Source organism: Homo sapiens, chromosome 14 (assembly GCF_000001405.40).
Source record: "Homo sapiens chromosome 14, GRCh38.p14 Primary Assembly".
Classification (NCBI taxonomy): Eukaryota; Metazoa; Chordata; class Mammalia; order Primates; family Hominidae; genus Homo; species Homo sapiens.
The window spans coordinates 45,847,975-45,869,257 of record NC_000014.9 but is presented as its reverse complement, the minus strand read 5'-3'; the positions used below and the strand labels follow the sequence as shown (position 1 = coordinate 45,869,257).

Here is a 21,283-nt window from a genome sequence, read left to right as displayed (position 1 = left end):
GCTGCCATATATTGAATTATGACTTTGCCTATAACCTCTACATCTCTGCCTCTGAAACCCCTTATCAATGAGCCATTAGGGAAGGGACCACAACCCTCAGACCACAGACTAATACTGGTCTGTGGCTCATTAGAAATGAGCCACACAACAGGAGGTTAAAGATGGGTAAGCTAGTAAAGTTTCATCTGTTCTTACAACCACTGCCCATCACTTTCATTACCACCTGAGCTCTGCCTCCTGTCAGATCAGCAGTGGCATTAGGTTCTCATAGGAGCACGAACCATATTGTGAACTGCGAATGCAAGGGATCTAGGTTGGACTCTTCTTATGAGAATCTAATGCCAGATGATCTAAGGTGGACCCAAGGTGGTGATGCAGCACTGGGGAGTGGCTGCAAATACAGATTAACATTAGCAGAGATTTTTAACTGCACAGAAACCATAATAAATCAATTGCTTGGAGACACAGATCAAAACCCTATCAGTGAGTAGCAAGTGGCATTTAAACTGCATCTCGTGGCAGCTTTATAGTGGCAAGTGAGTTGGTGTACTTCAATTTCACAGCTGCATCTGGTGGCAGGATTTAAGTCAGAACCTGATACTCATTTTTGTCTCGACATGGTCCACCCATTATTTTATTTACCACTTTCATCTGTGCCTCTTTCCCACACTGTGCACTTGCCTTAGTCACAGTTTTGGTTCCCACAAGCTAACTCTGGCCAAAATGAGTAAGAACCAAACATCACTGGAGAGCTTCTTTGAAAAGGGGTAAACACCCAATGATGAGACAGCAGAAGACTCTAAGACTGCCAACAAAAAGAAAGCTGCATTTAAAAGAAAACACCAAGTCCTACTTAAATTATGGGTTCATTGCAACAGGTGATTCACATTCTCCAAGGCCACTTTGTAAAATACGTGACAACTGGCTATCCAATGAAGCCCTGTAACCTTCAAAACTGCTTTGTCACATGGAGACCAAGGACCCTGCAATAAAAGACAAGCCTTTGGAGTTTTTCAAAAGAAAAAATGTGAACACAAATAACAGAAGCAGTTATTGAAGACCACCACTTCATCAAATGTGTCTGCACTGAAAGCATAATTCCTAGTGGCTAACTGCATTGCTAAAGCTAAGAAATCCTTTCCTATTGGTGAAGAGTTCATCCTGCCGGCTGCTAAGGACATTTGTGGTTAAACGTTAGGAGAGGCTACAGTTCAAAAGGTGGCACATGTTCCTCTTTTATCTAGCACCATAGCTAAATGAATTGATGAACTAGCAGAGGATATTGAGGCACAGTTTTTAGAGAGAATTAATGAGTCACTGTGGTATTTAATCCAGGTTGACAATTCTATAGATATTGACAACAAGGCAACAATGCTTGTTTGTTTTCATGCAATATATTTTTCAGGAGGATGTGCATGAGGATATGTTCTGTGCACTTTTGTTGCCAAACAACACCACAGCTGCAGAACTATTAAGTCTTTGAATAATTACATATTAGGAAAACTGTATTGGTCATTTTGTGTTGGTATATGCATGAACAGAGAGGCTGCCATGGCTGGATGGCTTTCTGGTTTCACTACTCAGATCAAAGAAGTCACTTCTGAATTTGAGTCTGTGCACTGTGACTGCCATAGAGAAATCTTAGCTACCCCAAAAATGTCACCTAAACTTAATGACATTTTGCAGGATGCTATTAAAACTATCAACAACATTAAAGTATATGCTTTTAACTCATGTCTGTTGGCGCAGCTCTGTGAGGAGATGGACACAGAGCACACACATCTCTTACACACAGATGTGAAATGACTTTCTAAAGGTAGATCACTGGCCAGAGTTTTTGAGTTATGAGAGCTGCTCCAGAGATATTTTTAGAAAAACAGTAACCACTGGCAGCACATTTCAGTGACACAGAATGGGTTGCAAAACTTGCTTACCTCTGTCACATATTCAACTTGCTGAATGAACTCAATCTGTCACTTCAGGGGAGAATGAAAGCTGTGTTCAAGTCAGCAGATAAAGTGGCTGCGTTTAAAGCCAAACTGGAATTATGGGGGCGACAAGTGAACATTGGAATATTTGACAATTTCAAACATTGGCAGATATTTTGAAAGAGACTGAGCCAAGGCCTTCTTTCTCCTAGCTGGTGCATGATCACCTATCTCATCTTTCAAAAGAGTTTGAACATTACTTCCCAAACACAAAAGACTGCCAAACTGGGAAAGAATGGATCAGTGACCCATTTGTGAGTAAGCCAGATGAATTGATTTTGCCTGTGCCAGAAGAGGATCAACTGCTTGAGATCACAAATGACAGTGGCCTTAAAAGTACGTTCCAGACAACTTCAAATCCTAATCATCAAGGAGGAATATCCTGTGATTGCCACAAAAGCACTGTAAAGCCTGCTTCCATTTCCAACATTCTTTCTTTTTGAAGCAGAGTTTTCTGCAGTGACAGAAACCACAATGAGATAACAGAGTAGACTGGACATAAGCAACACACTTCAGGTGTCACTGTCTCCCATCACCCTCAGATGGGACCGTCTAGTTTCAGGAAAACAAGCTCAGGGCCCCCACTGATTCTACATTATGGTGAGTTGTATAACTATTTCATTATATATGACAATGTAGTAATAATAGATATAAAGCGCACAATAAATATAATGTTCTTGAATCATCCCAAAACCATCCCCCACTCCTCAGTCCGTGGAGAAATTGTCTTCTGCAAAACCCGTCCCTGGTGCTAAGAAAGCTGGGAACTGCTGCATTAGGGAGTTTGAGTCTTAAGCATTTGCGTCTTAAGCATCCCTGGTGCCTGATTCTCACTGCTTGATGCCTTGCAATAGATGCGTCACTTCTAGCTGCAGTCCTGATGCCAATGTTTGTTTTTGCTGTGCTGGGTGAATGGATCCCAGTTCAGTCCAATAACACTCTCAGCTACTTTTCTTTCTCAACTTCAAGTCTAAGTAACATTTGGGTTAGTATTTTTTCTGAACATAAAGTACAGGACTTATGATTTTAAAACTCCAAACGCATTTCAATTTTTCGTAGTAACTAGGTAATAACTAAGATACAAAATTATAACTTAATAATTAAGGTCTATAATTGAGGTACAAATAGTGAGTGTAAGTAAATCTTGTCTGTATTTGTTCATTCTTTTTTTTTTTATTATACTTTAAGTTTTAGGGTACATGTGCACATTGTGCAGGTTAGTTACATATGTATACATGTGCCATGCTGGTGCGCTGCACCCACTAACTCATCATCTAGCATTAAGTATATCTCCCAATGCTTATATGTAACTACAGTACACTTTAAAATTCAAAACTTTTATTCATTTAAAGAAAGTATGTTGAAATTCCAGATGCCATCAATAAAATAAATAATTCTTATTCATATACTTTTTCTTCAGAGATAGGTTTAGGCAGCACAGGACTTGTCATCCATAAAAATAAATGTGTTCAGTTCTCTGAAATTTTTTTGAACATCTCTATGTGTGAGGCACTTTTACAGGAATTGGGGATAGAGTATTTTAGTGGAAAGACAAAGCCCTTCCTTTACGGGTTCTTCCTCTAGTTAAGGAAGACAAAGATAAGTAAACAAGTTGAATTTAACTGTTAAGTGAAGTAATGAAGATAAAGAGTGACTGAAAGGGACATAATTAAAGATAATAACTTCAAGTGTACATACATATGAGGGCCAAGTAAGGCTTGACTAAGGAAGTGGCATTGATACTAAAACTGAAAATGATCCATGTAAGAACAGAAATGAAGTAGTCACTCAACTATCTTGTTGAAGTGTTTTTGTAGCTAGAAGAGAAAACAAGTTTAAAGATCCCTAGATGAAGGATGCTTAGCATCATCCGGTTACAGGAAGAAGCCTAGAATTCCTGGGAAGTTCAAAACGTAGGGAAAAAGTTGTACAAAATGTCACTAAGAAAGACAAGTGAAGGACAAATTTTGTAAGGTATTGGAGGTGATCTTAAGGGCTAAGAAGCAATTTTGGTTCTAAGTGCAGTGGAAACCAATTAGTTTTAAACAGAGGTGTAATATTATTTGATTTATTTTTTTAAAAAAAATAATAAACCACAACTTAGTATGATGGCTAGGCAATTTGCTAAACGCTTTACAAGTGTAAATCCTTGTTGTAAATTCTGCCTTATTATTCCCACTTTACAGAATAGAAAATTGAGGTAGAGGGGGATTATGGGATCTGTTCAAATCACAAGTACTGAGGGAAGTATTCTAACCCAAGTTCCTCATTCCGAGCCTGAGCTCACAATTGTTCTATGCTCTTCAATGGTGCTGGGATCCCCAGGATACACACAATACAGGGCGAGTTATGGCGGCAGTTGGGGGTCGGGGGGGAATTTTCATACAAGATCGCAGAAGAGTAATCAGCTATGCAGTTAGAATAAAATATTTCTTGAAGCTAAAACTATAGTATATTTTAATTCTCATTATAAGTCATTGATTGTGTTTAATTTTTTGATAAATATTCTTAAATATGTCAACAATTCCTATTTTGTACTCCTTTTTTTCCTAAGGGCAGAATAATTACCTCAAACACTTTTGAATCTTCTACATTCTCTACAACAGTGCCTTACACTGAGAGCAGGAGTTTTAAAGTATTGGTTACAAAATAACAAAAAATGTTTCTTCAATGCTTGGCACCATGGGAAAACTTAGACCTAACAATCCACTGTTTCTGGTTGATACTGATGTTGGTTCTTAGTGAAACAAGTTCTCACTGAGTTCACTTTGAACTTGAAGCTGTACTTTGAGGAATCTTGAAAGCACCTTTAAAGTTATTCAAAATTTGGCATTAGATATTTTTTACTTTGTGCATTGTTAGATGTTTCCCTATGGAAGTTTAAAATATCAGGTACACAGTAGGTGCATTAAAGTCCCTGCCTTTTGTTTGCATTACCTAGAGAATTTCACAGACCCATTGTCCATTGGATAAATATATCTCCTCCCCTGAAAAATTTCTGCTGCCTTTTGAAACTCTCAGTAGGAATTGTAACAGTAACCCCTTTCAGTTGAATTCTGATCTTTCCTGGTAATTTCTTGTTTCTTTCAGGATAAAATGTAATGGCAATGGCTTTGATGTCTTTGTCTTGCTTTATCCTTCCTTCTTTAAGAAGCAGTTCTTGTTCATTCTTGGCTCTCAGGACATGCTTTATGTAACATCAGTATGAAAAGAATTAGAATAAAAATTATATCCCCTTTTGGAACTGTGTCTATTTACCTAATATAAAAGATACAACAGTTTTTCAAAAGCATAGCAGAACAATGCTGTACTCTTTTCAATTTCACAGTAGCATCTGAGCCATGACCAAACTATTTGACAAGAATGAATATTAAATCAGGACATTGGGAACAAAGATAATAAACACCTTTCTTACTGAGATAACAAATTAATGATAGATGTATTTTAAAATAAAAACTGATAAGTAATGAAAACATGGCTTGAAAGAGGATAAATAAATAACCAGGAAATAATTTGAAATGTTTCATTCTCCAGTCTTTAAAGGAATTGCTTCATTTTCTCAATGGTAATGATGCATATTTTCTTTTTTCTTTAATTGACAAATAATAATTTTTTATATTTATGGAGTACCATGTGGTGTTTTGATCTATGTATACATTGTAGAAAGATTCAATCAAGCTAATTAATATATCCATCACCTCACCAATTTATCTTTTCTTCTGTGTAGTGAGAGCATAAACAATATATCTTACCAGTTTTGAAATATGCAATATATTATTATTAAATGTGGTTGCCATGCAATGCAGTAGATCACTGAAATGCATTCCTACAGTCTACCTGAAACTCTGCGTCCTTTGATCAACACCTTCCCCACCATCTCTCCACCATCCCTCAAGCCTCTGGTAACCACCTTTCTACTGTTTCTACCAAATCAATTTTTTCAGATTCCACATATAAGTGAGATCAAATAGTATCCGTCTTTCTGCACCTGGCTTATTTCACTTAACATAATGTCCTCAAGTTCCATCCGTGTTGTAACAGTAACAGAAATTTTTCTTTTTTAAAGTTGTATAGTATACCATTGTGTATATATCACATCTTTATCCATTCATCAGTTGATGGACACTTAGGTTGGCTTTATAAGGTAGCTATTGTGAATAATGTTGTAATGAACATGAGAGTGCATCTATCTCTTTGATATACTAATTTCAATACCTCTAGATGTATACTCAGAAGTGAGATTGCTGAAGCGTATAGTAATCCTGTTAAGGAAAACTAAATATGGCCTGAGAAGGACTTTGTACTTCTATATTTGAGTCCTTGTGGATGAATTGTAACCTAGCTTAATAGTCAGACAAGAGTAAAACCTAAATTAGGAGTATGCTCCTGTAACAATGACTGAGTCTTGGCCAATCCAAATGGCCATACTTCAACCACTCACAGACTGCTAAATGTTCAAACTGTGTTCAAATAAGGCAAACTCCAACCTGTAACAAATCCACCTGTTTCTTTACCTCACTGCCAATTTCTGTACATGATTTCCCTTTTTTACCTATAAATCTTCTTTCACCACTTGGCTCCACTGGAGTCTCTGTGAATTTGCTGTGATTCTAAGGGCTGCCCAATTTGCACATAGTTCATTACTCAATTAAACTCCTTTAAATTTAATTCTGCTGAAGTTTTTCTTTTATTGATTTTATTTTTAGATTTATGAGGAACATCCACACTATTTTCCAATATGGTTGTATCAATTTACATTCCTACCAACAGTGTACAAAAGCTCCCTTTTCTCCAAATCCTCACCATTACTTACCATTTGTTTTTGATGATAGCATTCTCACAGGTGTAAGGTGGTAACTCATTGTGGTTTTCATTGACATTTCCCTTATGATTAGAAATGTTTAGCATTTTTTTCATATCTGTTTGCTATTCATATTTCATGTTTTGGGAAATGTTTTTCAGATCCTTTGCCCATTTTAATTGGGTTATTTGTTTTCTTATTACTGAGTTGAGTTTCTTATATATTTTGGATATTAGCCCCTTATCAGATGTATGGTTTGCCAATATCTTCTCCCAATTTGTGGGTTGTTTCTTCACTGTATTGTTTTTTGTTTTGTTTTGTGTTGGAGTGTGTTTTTGGTTTTTTGTTTGTTTCTTTTGTTTTGTTTTATTTATGCTGTGCTTTTTGGGTTGATGCAATTCCATTTGTCTGCTTTTGTTTTTGTTGCCTGTGCTCTTGGAGTCCTATCCAAGAAATCATTACCCAGAACAATATCATGGAGATGTCTCCCTACGTTTCCTTCTAGTAGCTTTACTGTCTCATGTCTTACATTTATGTCTTTCATGTATTTTGAGCTGATTTTTGAATATGGGGTGAGATAAGAGTCCAATTTCATTCTTCTGCATGTGAATATCCAGTTTCCCCATCACCATTTATTAAAGAGACAGTCCTTTTCCCATTGTTTGTTCTTGGCATCTTTGTCAAAATCAATTGACCAGGTTGGGTGTGGTGGTTCACACCTGTAATCCCAGCACTTTGGGAGGCCAAGGAGGGAAGATTGCTTGAGCTCAGGAGTTCAAGACAAGCCTGTACAACTCAGTGAGACCCTATCACTACAAAAGCTAAAAAAAAAAAAAAATTAGCTGGGCATGGTGACACGCACCTGTATCCCAGATACTCAAGAGGCTCAGGTGGAAGGATCACTTGAATCCAGGAGACTGAGACTGCAGTGAGCCATGATCACACCACTGCAGTCAAGCCTGTGTGACAGAGCGAGACACTGCCTCAAAAAAAAAAAAAATCATTTGACCATAAATACCTAGATTTCAATTGACCATAAATACCTAGATTTATTTCTGGACTTTCTATCCTGTTCCATTGGCTTGTGTGTCTGTTTGTATGCTAGTACCATGCTGTTTTGAAATAAAAGAGTAAGATGCTTCTAGCTTTGTTCCTTTTGCTCAGTATTGCTTTGCCTATTTAAGGTCTTTCTCGTTCCATACAAATTTTAGCATTGTTTTTTCTATTTCTGTGAAAAATGACATTGAAATATTCATCAAAATTTCATTCAATTTGTAGATTAGATTGTTTTGGGTAATGTGCATTTTAACAATATTAATTATTTCAATCCATGAACATAAGCTATCTTTTCATTTATTTGTGTATCCTCCAATTTCTTTCATCAGTGCTTTATAGTTTTCAGTGTACATATTTTTCACATGCTTTGCTAAATTTGCTCCTAAGGATTTTATTTTACTTTATTTTATGTTTTTTAGGGGACAGGATCTCACTCTGTCACTCGATCTAGGGTGTAGTGGCATAATCATGGTTCACTTCCACCTCAATCACCTGGGCTCAAACAATCCTCCCACCTCAGCCTTCCAAATAGCTGAACTCAACACTTGACAAAATGGAACTAACAGAAATCTATGGAACACTCCATACAACAACAGAAAATGTATTCTTCTCATTGGCACATGGCACATACTGTAAGATTGACCACATGCTTGGCTATAAAGCAATTTTAGCAAATTCAAATAAAATAAAATCATACCAACCACACTCTCAGACTACAGCACAACAAAAATAGAAATCAATCCCAAGAAGATATTTTGAACCCATACAATTACATGGAAATTAAACAATCTACTCCTGAATTATCTTTGAGTAGAGAATGAAATTAAGGCAGAAATAAAGAAATTATTTGAAACTAATGACAACAAATACAACACACCAGAATTTCTGGGACATAACTACAGAAGTGTTAAGAGGAAATTTTATAGCACTAAATGCCTACATCAAAAAGTTAGAAAGCTCTCAAATCAACAACTTAACATCACACCTAGAAGAACTAGAAAAACAATAGCAAACCAACCTCAAAGCTGTCAGGAAAACATATTTAAAAAAATCAGAGCTGAACTGAACAATATTGAGATGCAAAAATCCATACAAAAAAATCAAAGAAAGCAAAAGTTGGTCATCTGAAAGAATAAATAAGATTGATAGACCATTAGCTTGACTAATAAAAAAGAGAGAAGACCCAAGTAAACACAATCAGAAATGACAAAGTTGACATTACCACCAATGCCAAAGAAATACAAAAAAAAAAAAAATCCCTGAAGTCCAAATCAAGAACTCAATTCAATTCACAACTGTCACTGACAGGATAAAATACTTAGGAATACAGCTAAACAGGGAAGTGAAATATCTATACAACGGGAATTACAAAACACTGCTGAAAGAAATCAGTGACAACATAAACAAATGGAAAAATATTCCATGCTCATGTATAGGAAGAATCAATATTGTCAAAATAGTTCTACTTCACAAAGCAATTTACAAATACAATGCTATTCCTATCAAACTACCAAACTTATTTCACAAAGTTAGGAAAAGCTGTTTTAGAATCCATAGAAAATCAAATAAGGAGCCCAAATAGCTAAAGCAATCCAAGTGAAATAAACAAAGCTGTAGGCATCACATTACCCAATTTCAGACTATACTGCAAGGCTACAGTAACTAAAATAGTGTGGTATTGGTACAAAAACAGACACATAAGCCAATGGAACAGGTTAGAGAAACCAGAAATAAAGTCGCACACCTACAACCATCTGGTCTTTAGCAAAACTGACAATAACAAGTATGGAGGAAATGGCTCCCTATTCAATAAATAGTGCTGGGATAACTGGCTAGCTATATGCAGGAGACTGAAACAGGACCCCTTCCTTATACAGTATACAAAAACCATTCAAGATGGATTAAAGACTTAAATGTAAAACCTAAAGCTATAAACACCCTAGAAGAAAATCTAGGAATACCATTCTGGATATAGGCTTTGACAAAAATTTCACGGCAAAGACTCCAAAAGCAATTGCAACAAAACAAAAAATTGACAAATGGAGCCTAATTAAACTAAAAATCTTCTGCACAGCAAACAAAACTATCAGCAGAGTAAACAGACAACCTACAGAATAGGAGAAAATATTTGCAAGCTATGTGTCTGACAAAGGTCTAATATACAGAATATATAGAGAATTTAAACAAATCAACAAGCAACCCCATTAAAATATGGGCAAAGGACATGAACAGACACTTCTCAAAGTAGAACTTTGAACACTTCTCAAAGAGAACACTTATATTTTGTTGGTGGGAATGTAAATTAGTTCAGCCACTGTGGAGAGCAGTTTTGAGATTTTCCAAAGAACTTAGAAGAGAACTACCATTCAACCCAGCAGTCTCATTACTGGATATATACCCAAAAGAATAGAAATTATTCTACTGTAAAGACACATAAGCATGTATGTTTATTACAGCACTTTTCACAATAGCAAAAACATGGATTCAACTTACATGCCCATCAACAGTAGACTGGATAAAGAAAATGTGGTACATATACCCTATGGAATAATACACAGCCAAAAAAAAGAATGAAATCATGTCCTTTGCAATCATATGGATGCAGCTGGAAGTCATTATCCTAAGCAAACTAACACAAAAACAGAAAACCATATACTGTATGTTCTTACTTATAAGGGGAGCTAAACATTGAGTACACATGGACACACAGACAGAAATAATAGACACTGGAGATACCTTGAGGTTTGAGGGTGGGAGGAAGGTGAGGAGAAAACTACCTATCAGGTACAATTTACTACCTGGGTGAAAGCTTGTACACCAAAGCCCAGCAACACACAATTTACCTGTGCAACAAACCTGCACATGTACTCCCAAACCTGAGATAAAAGATTAAAAAATCAATAGATATTATAAAGCTCTAGCTAGAATTATAAGAACTAAAAAATAAGGTGCAAAGTATGAGTGTTAAGAATGAAAGAAATTAACACATCACTATAGAACATACAGACAAAAGATGATAAAGAAATATTATGAACAACTTTGTACCAATAAATTCAACAACTTAGATAAAATGGACATCACAAAAGATGCTGCCAATATTAAAAGAACAATAACGGAAATTTATGAATAAACCTATGGCCATATATTCAAAAACCTAAGTGATATGGGAAAATTTCATGGAACATCGGAATTACCGAAACTAATAAATGAGAAAATTATTTATTTTCTCATTTAGAACAGCTCTTATGTACTAAGAAAACTTATTTTGAACTTTAAAGCCTTCCTCAAAAGGCAACTGCAGTCTATTGGTTTACATGCTGCATCCTAGTCAGCATTTAAATAAGAATAATAGGATACTATCCTAATTCCATGAGAAAAAGCAGGGGAAAACACTCCTAAATAATTTTATGAATCCAACATCTAAAAACCAAAGGCAGAAAAAGACATTACAAAAAAGAAAACTATAGAACAACATTCTTCAATATATATGCAAAAGTTCTTAACAAAATACTAACACACCTAACGCAATAATATATAAAAAGGATAACACTTTATTACAACTGGAGTTTATCCTGAGAATGCAAGGCTGGCTGGCTCAACTTCAATCAACAGACTAAAGGAGAACCACATATTAATCTAATAAATACAGAAAAGTAATATGACAATGCTGGATGTGGTGGTTCACACCTGTAAACCCAGCACTTTGGGAGGCCAAGGCGGGTGGATCACTTGAGGTCAGGAGTTCAAGACCAGCCTGGCCAACATGGTGAAACCCCATCTCCATGAAAAATACAAAAAGTAGCCGGGTATGGTGACAAGTGCCATTAGTCCCAGCTACTCGGGAGGCTGAGGCCCCCGGAGACAGATGTCACAGTGAGCCGTGGTCATGCCACTGCAATCCAGCCTGGGTGACAGAGTGAGACTATGTCTCAAAAAGAAGAGAAAAGTAATATGACAAAATGCAATAACCCTTCATTATAAAAATACTAGTAAACTAGTAATAAATGGATATTTTCTGAACCTGATAAACATCATTACAAGAAAATATATAGCTAACATTATAATTAATATGAATTGTTGAATATTCCCCCTAAAATTGAGAAGGAAGAATATTTATTCTCATCATACCTATTCATGTTGTACTCAAAGTCATAACTAGTGCAATCAAGCAAGATAAAGAAATATAAGGAAAATTAATTGAAAAGGAAGAGATAGACTTCTCCCTATTTTCAGACAAAATGATGCTGCATATAGAAATCTCTATGGAAATAAGTTAGCAGAATTAGTAAGGGTGTTTGGCATGGTCGCAGAAAATAAGGTGACCTTGAGAAACAAAATAAAAGAGAAATGACACATATCCACACAAAGACTTGGTATGTAAATGTTCATAGCTGTTTTATTTATAACCAGAAACTGAAAACAACTCCAATTTCCATCAATAGTTGAATGGATAAACAAAATGCAGTATGCATTAATATACAACCAAGCAATTAGTAAAACATACCTAGAATATATTCAACAATGTAAGGCAGAGAAAAAAAAGCAATCCAGACACAAAAGGATGCATACAGTATAATTTGAGTTTTATTAAATTCTAAAAAAGTAAATCGCATCTATTATGACAGAAAGCTGATCAGTGTTTGCTTGAGGTCAGTGTAGGAATTGACTAGGAAAATACATATATGGAGAGTTCACCTGTAGGTGATTTGGTCAACAAACTCAGAGGAGCACACACTCCAGATTATCCCAGTACAAGTGCAAGATCTGTGATTTAAGAGGTTTCCAAGAAGATTCCAGTTACCAACCAATTCCCTATTATCAGATGGGACCACATACATCTTGTGGAAGAAATATGCAAATCCAGCTGTAATTTGTTCAAATTCCTGACACGTAGAATTTCTTTTTTTTTTATTAGTAATAACAATAGGCACAATTTATGTAGACTTTATTATGTCTTAAGCACTCTTCTATGTTTTTAATAAACTGTTTCATCTTATTCTTTTCTCAACACTGTAAAGTAGCTATTATTTTTTCTATTTTAAAGATGAGAGAATTGAGGTTTAATGTGATTAAGCAACTTGCTCAAGATCACATATCTCAAAAGTAGCATATGCAGCACTCAAATTCAGGACCACTTCAATTCAAACTCCATATTATTCAAAGAAAATGCAGGGGATTGAAATATTAAAGCTATTTCATAGGTACAGCTAGAGAATTTGAGTGGCTTGACCAAATTTTAAAGCAATAAATTACAAACTGGTCCCACAACTTTCTATACCCAGTTTCGTCTCAATAATAATAAAATTTGGAGTGAAATAGTATAATTCTGAGCATTCCTTACAAGAATATAGAGTTATGATCAGAGAATTTGATGAAATTCAGAAGCAAAATTAATAAAATAAGGCATATACAAAGTAGTTTTTTGTACAGGCCAAAGCAAGACATCCATATAAACCTTAACTGATATTGTTAATAAAAGTAATAAGGAAGAAAGACTGGATCCAGGTGGAAATGAGGATACTTGTCTTCTAATTTTCCTCCTACAATGACAAAACAGAGATTTTAAGGAATGTAAATGAATAAAAGCAGAAATAACCAATCAAAAAGGGTCTAAGGATGTATTAGTCAGGGTTCTGCAGGGAAACAGAACCAATAGAATGAGTGTGTGTGTGTGTGTGTGTGTGTGTGTGTGTGTGTGTACGTATGTGTCTAGGGAAAGAGGGAGAGAGATTGATTATATGCAATTAGTCACATAATTATGGATACTAGTAAGTCCAAAAGCTGCAGCATGGGCTGGCAGGCTGGAGCTGGAGGACAGCCTGGGAAGGTAAATACAGTTCCTCACTAAAGGCGGTTGGCTGGAGAATACCTTCCTGCGAAAGGATGCCAATCATTTTGTTCTAGTCAGGCAATCAATTGATTGGATGAGCCCCACCCATATTATAGAGAGCTACTTACTCAAAGTTCACCAATTTAAATGTTTATCTCACCCCAAAACAACCTGTAAGTTAACATATAAAGTTAACCATTACAAGGAGGTAAATATTAAGTGAGAAGTTCTGAAGAATTACTAAAAAAAAGTAGAAAAACTTCAAATAAACAACCTAACAATGTATCTTAAAGAAGTAGAAAAGAAAGAGCAAATCAAACTCAAATTTAGTAGAAGAATATAAATAATACAGATCAGAACAGAAATAGATGAAATTGCCAAGAAGAAAACAATACAAAATATCAATGGAATGAGAAGTTTATTTTTTGAAAAGATAAAACAAAATTGACAAACCTTTAGCCAGACTAACTGAGAAAAAAAGAGAGAAGAGCCAAATAAATAAAATCAGAGATGAAAAAGGAGACATTACTAATTATACCAGAGAAATTCAAAGGATCATTAGAGGCTACTATAAGCAACTAAGGTCTGAAGTAATTTAGCACCTTTATTTTCAGACCCAATATTCACACTAAGATCCCTTACCAGAGTTCAGTTTGTTTAGAATGTGATCCCCAAGGCCAGGGGGTGAACCCTTAATGTGTATAGGGGAGGGAGGGAGATGAGTCCGACTGATCCAGCTCTTTCAATAGCTTGCCTTTAGTTAATGGCCTCGATGAATGCTACGGGTTCTCTTTAATGATGTCTTTCGTATAATTTGGGCAGTGTTTTTCCTTTCTTATGCTTCTTTGACACGTAGAATTTCTAAGTATTAGAAAATTTTTGCTGATTTATGCCACCAAATTTGGGGTAATTTGTTACCAGTAATATTTAAGCAGAATAAAGACACCTAGGCACACAATAGTAAAACTGCTGAAAATACAAGAAAAAAAGAGAAAATCTTAAAAGCAGATAAAGAAAAAGATACATTAAATTCAAAACGATAGCAAACAAAAACTTATTAATAATATCAATATAAACTATGAAAATTACAATATAATGTAATATCTTTACATCGCTGAAAGTTTCTGGCAACATACAATTCTGTATATTCTATAATGAAAGTGAGATAAGAATATTTATGGACAGATAATTTATAATCAGCAGACCTGCACTAAAAGAAATACAAGAATAGAAAATATTAATAGCGGCATTATTCATAATAGCTAAAAACTGGAAATAGTCCAAATGTCTCTGAATGGGTAAAAAGTAAACAAAATGTGGTATATCCATGCAATGGAATACTATTCAGCAAAAAGGAGTGACCTACCGATATATGCTAACAAAAAAAGATGACCCCTAAGAATATTATTCTAAGTTAAAAAAAAGCCAGGCATAAAGACTACATATTGATTTTATGTATATAAAATCTCCGTAGTAGGAAAATTTATGAAGACAGAAGGCAGAACATCACTGGGGCCAGAAATCACCTGTATGAGAACCCTTTTTAGGACAAATTGCTCTAAACTGGATTGTGGAGATGATTTCAGAACTCTATAAATTTACTAAAATTAATTGAATTGCTTGCTTATAATGGATGAATTTTATGTTATAAAAGTATGCCTTAATAAAGCTCTTAAGCAAACTAAGGAAACAAAATGCTTGAAAATAAAATCTTAGAGGAAAAAATATACCAGGAAGGTACTACACTGTACTAAAAGACATCTTGGTCACAATACTAGTATCCATCCAAATACAGTGTATGTAAATTAATGACTATTTTTCTAATATTTTTTAAAAAGTATTAAAACTTTTAAGTACTTTATTCTAACACTATTTTAGAGTATATTCTATCTCTTGGGCAGTAATTATTCACTGACATTGCTCCTAAAACGTTGCTACTAATTTTCAAAAAAAGTTTCCCCAATTTTATTCGTATTTTCCTCTTGCATAGTGTTTCCTTATTAGTCTCAAAATGTCTAATTATAGAAAGAGTTCTGGTATTTCTATTTTAGAAAACACAAACTAAAGCTCAGAGAAGTGGAACAAATTTTCCAAATGTGACTCTGGCAGATTTCTTAATTATGATGATCAAACTCAATATCCCTTAGTCACATTGCCTTCCTGTGCTGAACTAGATATATTTTCAATTCAGATATAAAATATAAAATGAAAATATTTATTGTTTATCCTCTCTCAATTGGCAAAAACATAGAATATACCTATAATCACCATCCATATCAAAAGAAAGTTAAATCACACTGTATTCTGATAGATATATTACCCTCAGTTTTTCTGGTGTGTATCATATGTGGGTATGGGTGTATTTATTTTAAATGTGTAGCCATCCACTCTTGGATGGCATAGTAAAGAGATTAGAGACATAGCCAAATGCACTCTGGTCCAGAGCTATAAACAGGAGATGACTCCAAGGGGAGCCAACCTGCCTAAGATAACAATTCAGTAGAGTAGTATTATCTGTCAAGCCATAATTACAAATATCTTTATAGCCTTGTTTGAGAGACTTTAGTAATTCTCCTAATCAGTCTCAAAAATTATCCGTGGGATCTGAACAAAGCAGCAGAGGAAACATTATGCACACTTTATAACCAATGCTTTCTTCCAGAATGAAAATCAAAGGTTAGCTTCCCACTCCCTAATTCAGTTGAAAGATGGACAGAAAGAGAAATCAACCACTGAGAGTAATAGCTGCACACATGTTATATAAGTTAAGTATCCATAGATTTTGCAGGGAAGGGATTCTAAAGCTATTAAGGCAAATTAGAAGAGGACTATTACCTGACAGAAAGGCCTAGCTTAAAAGAAATTATTATTTTTCCCATCAGGTACTGTTGCCTCAATGGGGTAAAAGTTCATTAGTAACATTATTATTTTTCATTAAAATGTAATTGATCAATAAAATTGTACATAATTATGGTCTACAGCATGATATTTTTATATATGTATACATTGTGAAATTATTAAATCAAGCTAATTAACGTGTACATTACCTCATATACTTATTTTTCTGTGGTGAGAACATTTAAAATCTACTCTCTTAGCAATTTTCAAGTATACCATCATTATTATTAACTATAATAGCCATGTTACACAATAGATATGCAGAATGTGTTCGTTCTAACTGAAGCTTTGCACCCTTTGATCAACGTCTGTCCCCATTCCATGCCTCCTTCAACGTTAGTAACATTATTAACATATTGACTAGTGTGCTACGAGCTAAGAGAATTTTAGAATCTGTATGTTATACTAACAAAAATCTCCTCATCTTAATTTTTCAGATACCACAGGATTAGTTTCGACAATGTTGACAGTCATTTCTAGACACTAAAAAGAATGTCCAGGTATTTCTAAACACAATAGCTTCAGCATGGGTCTTATAATATTGACTTCCCTATTCCACCTCAAACTCTGCCTGAAACTAGCCAAAGCTGTAAGTGCCTAGAACCATTCCAGTGTTTGGAGATAGAGGACAAGTGCTTAATCATTTCCATTCCAGGATATCTTCTAATCAATAGCTTTAAATACACAGAAAATACTAACTGAAATCCACACACCCAAGCTTCAAACATAAACATGAATAACAATTATCTAAATAGAATTCATCAACTCTCCCTACCATCAGGGTCCTTTCCCAACCTTCCAATTACCATCAGCAGTCAATTCCCCTCTCCTCCCAGCTTGATTGCCCTTCATAGTTAATCAAACATCTGCCAATTCCTCCTCTGCAACAGTCTGTGGTCTGGGAATGACCTGCATCAGAATCACCATGAGTGCTTGTTAAAATACATATTGCGGTGCCCTGCTCCAGACCTACTGAATCTGAACATCTACAAAATGATCCCTAGAATCTGCATTTTCATTCACTCCACCAGTGATTTTACCATACCTCAGAGTTTCAGAATCATTCATCTGAGTCTAGATTTTCAAATACTTCTGCCTCTTCTCTAGTCTGGGTCCTTATTGCTGCACATCAAGAAGCCGATAATGGTCTGCCAGCTTATCTCTATCCTCTAGTGCCTTCTCCAGTCCACCTCACATACCACTGTGCAAAAACCTCAACACTCTTTTCATCAAAAATCCCTTTTGTTTGAAATGTTTAGTTAGTTCTTTTTTAATCTTACTTAAGAAAAAACTCAAACTTCCCCACTGAACATTTAAAACCTTCTGTGAAAGGATTCCAGTGTGTCTGGCTCACTAATATTTCTCATCACTCCACTCTAGGGTCGCACTGATCACTTCAGATCAGACTAAATGGCAACCTTATTTCTTACACATCCTCCTTTTTCTCATCTCCACACCATCCATCTTTCTGTTCATCTGCTCTATGCCTCTCCATAGTTTTCCAAAATTTGATACTTCACACAAGAAAGAAATCCAGAATCACCTGCCTTAAAGTGGTAGGGAAGACACTGAAATGTCATGAGTTAGTACAGTTTTTAAAAATCCTAGTAGTACTAGGCACTGCTAAGTCATTTGGAGCACATTTATCTAATAAATGTGAAATAACATAGCCAGATACTGGATACATTACAAGAACTCAATCAAAACTAATTTATTTACTTCACTCTACTGTTTATTTTGTAGTATTGCAGTTATGATCTTTGTTGGCATATTACCTTTTTAAGTAATCTGTTTCTATGGGAAACAGGCTCTAATTTTTATAGGAAACCCATTTCCTATGGTCTTGTTGGGGCTGACATCTCTCCATTATCACAACCACTGGGGTGGGCACATGACGCAGGACCAACAAAATCAGGAGTATTCCATCCAGCTAGACACACAAACACCAAGCTGAAGAAACTGGTTCAGGGATTGGCATTTCTCCCAAGTCAATCAGTTACATCTCTAGAAATTTTGTTGGACTCTGAAGAAGTGGACACTAATCATTGAAACTGCTGGCTTTGCCTTTGAAGTAAGCGTAGAGGTACTAGTTGTCCGCTTGATTACCATGTTAGAAAATTTGTCCCAAAATTTAACTAACTCAAAGGCAAGTAAGATTCAGAAAGGGAAAGGTGATGTCTTCACAGCATCACTTTTTACTCCTGAATCCATCATGCCTGACAGCTAACGGCAAACTTTTCATTTATTGGAGATAATAAATTTCTTTGGAGTTCAAATGGTTTCCACTATTTTTCTGTCACTTTTAAACAGGATATCTCTGATACAAGAATAACAGGAATTGATGTGTGACAAGTAACATAATTTAAATGTGAAAGGGATTGAATCAATAAAGATGAGGACCTGAGAGGTGAAGGAAGTACCTGGATGAGACATTGACTTGCCTCGCTTTACTTTGAGAAAGAGTGCACTATTGGTTGTCTCATAGTTTCACTGTCTAATATTTCCATTGTCAGGCAGTGGCACTTTGAAATAATGCATACAAGAAGTAAGCTTGTTGTTAAGTAGCCAAGTAATGAATGGTAGTAGACTGTGATAACCATGCTTTTTGTCTGTTCACCATGCTTCTCATTCTCTTCTTGTTACACAGCCTTTCTTTTTCATGGAAAGCCCATTTTATGGCACTTCACATTGCATCCCCCATTCCCACAAGGATTAGTTTATGATCCAAAATGGGTGAATCAGAGCACCCTAAAATTGGTCACAGGGACATTCAGGGATGGCACATAACCTAGGACAGACTAATCACAACCTTCCTTGGGGCTTTAGCTGCAAGTAACAGGGGAAAAGAAGTCATATTTTTTTGTATTGAAACTGCTAGCTATGAAGATAAAATGAGTATATAACTTTCCTTCAATGGCCAACCCTACTACCATTCAGGAAAATACGGCCTGAAATTAAAGCCAACACAGGAAAAAGAAGAGAAGACGAATGGAGAGAGAGTAAGTGGCCTAATGGCATCCATCTAGCCAGAGGTAGCTTTGTCCTCTATATTTCTAAGCTGTGTAGACCATAAACCCATTTTCCTCAAACTAATTAAGCTGAGTTTTTGTCATTTGCAACTGACAAATTTGATCAGTGCTTACATGTCACCTCACAAATATTCTACAGTTTTCTCAGATACATTAAATATATTTCTTCTAACTTAGCAGTAATCCCTTTGAGAAAAAGAAATCATATCATTGATTTCTTTTTTTTATCTTTCTAGCTGTAATAGAACATTAGAACCCATTACATGGAAATATGGGAGAAAAGTTAACAAATTAATTTATAACAAATGTTTACACCATCTATTTTTTCAGTTTTCTAACCCTATTTAATTACTTACCTCCAAAAAAAAAAAAGTACTTAAGGATACATTATTCCAGGCAGAATATACAAGTAACTAATTGGATTCCAATCCCTTAGAAGCTTTTCAGAGGTCTACAGCTTTTATATTAAAAACCCATTTCAAATATTACAATTCTTCTTGAAATGTGAGGATTTCAAACTCACAAAATAACTGAACCATTGAGCAGTAATTATAGCACATTCACCAGTGTCACATGAAAACCTTTTTTCAGTGTCTTTAAAAGAATGTATTCTAATGCAGTATTTCGAGTTCAACCATCAACCCTGTATGATGATTTAAGAAGTATTTACTGCCATGGCTCTGTTCTCTTATATAAGCTTGGTTTAATAATTATTATTAATATGCAAAAGGTCCAATACAAAATATTAGTGAACTTAGTGAGGGCACTGAATGGTGGCTGTGATGATTACTTTTACATGTCAACATGACTAGGTTAAGGAATAGCCAGATAGCGGGTAAAACATTATTTCTGAATGCGTATGTGAGGTCTTTCCAGAAGGGATTAGCATTTGAATCAGTAGATCAAAGATGACTGAGTAAGATCCACCCTCACCAATGTGGGTAGACATCATCTAATCTGTTGTAGATCCAAATAGAACAAAAAGGTGGAGGAAGGGTGTCTTGGTTCATTTTATGCTGTTATACCACAATTCCTGAGACTAGGTAATTTATAAAAAACAAAACTCTATTGGCTCACACTTCCGGAAGTTCAATACTGAGGGGCCGACATGTGACACAGGCCTTCTTGCTGCATTATTCTATGGCAGAGGTGAAAGGCTCAGAGAGTAAACAAGAAAGAGACAAAAAAGGGGCGAACATGTCCTATTATATGAAATCCTTTTAAAAGCTTCCTGTGGCCTTACCAGAAGCTGAGCAGATGCCTTTGCCATGCTTGTATAGCCTACAGAACTGTGAGCCAAATAGACTTCTTTTCTTTATAAATTACCCAGCTTCAGGTATTCCTTTATAGCCACACAAAACAGACTAATACAGACATTAATCCATTAATCAGGGCAGAGCCCTCATGGCCTAATCACCACTTAAAGTTCCCACTTCTTAATAATGTTACAATGGTAATTAAATTTCAGCATAATTTTAGGGGCTGGGGAGACAAACATTGAATCCATAGCAAAGAGCAAATTCATTCTGTCTTCTGGAGCTGGGACATTCGCCTTCTCCTGTCTTCAGACACTGGAGCTTTCCTAGTTCTCAGACATTTGAACTTTGAATTCCAGGACTTATATTACAGGGACCCCCAGTTTTCAGGCCTTAAGACACAGACTGAATTACACCACCAGCTT

At 35.5% G+C, this 21,283-nt stretch overlaps 1 long non-coding RNA gene across 1 annotated transcript, besides 1 other annotated feature; it reads right to left on the bottom strand.

Annotated features, from left to right (window-relative positions):
* Nucleotides 613-892: an enhancer, noted in NCBI's record as "active region_8307". NCBI's record gives its function as "activates an Ori minimal core promoter by ATAC-STARR-seq in GM12878 lymphoblastoid cells {active_cell/tissue: GM12878}" and the evidence as "EXISTENCE:reporter gene assay evidence [ECO:0000049][PMID:35858748]".
* On the bottom strand, nt 12,216-13,867 carry LOC105378177 (uncharacterized). Its single transcript, XR_943825.2, has 2 exons — nt 13,804-13,867; nt 12,216-13,385 (listed from the first exon to the last, which is right to left on the bottom strand). It is a non-coding gene; the product is annotated as an uncharacterized LOC105378177 (long non-coding RNA).
* Nucleotides 13,868-21,283: the final 7,416 nt, after the last annotated feature.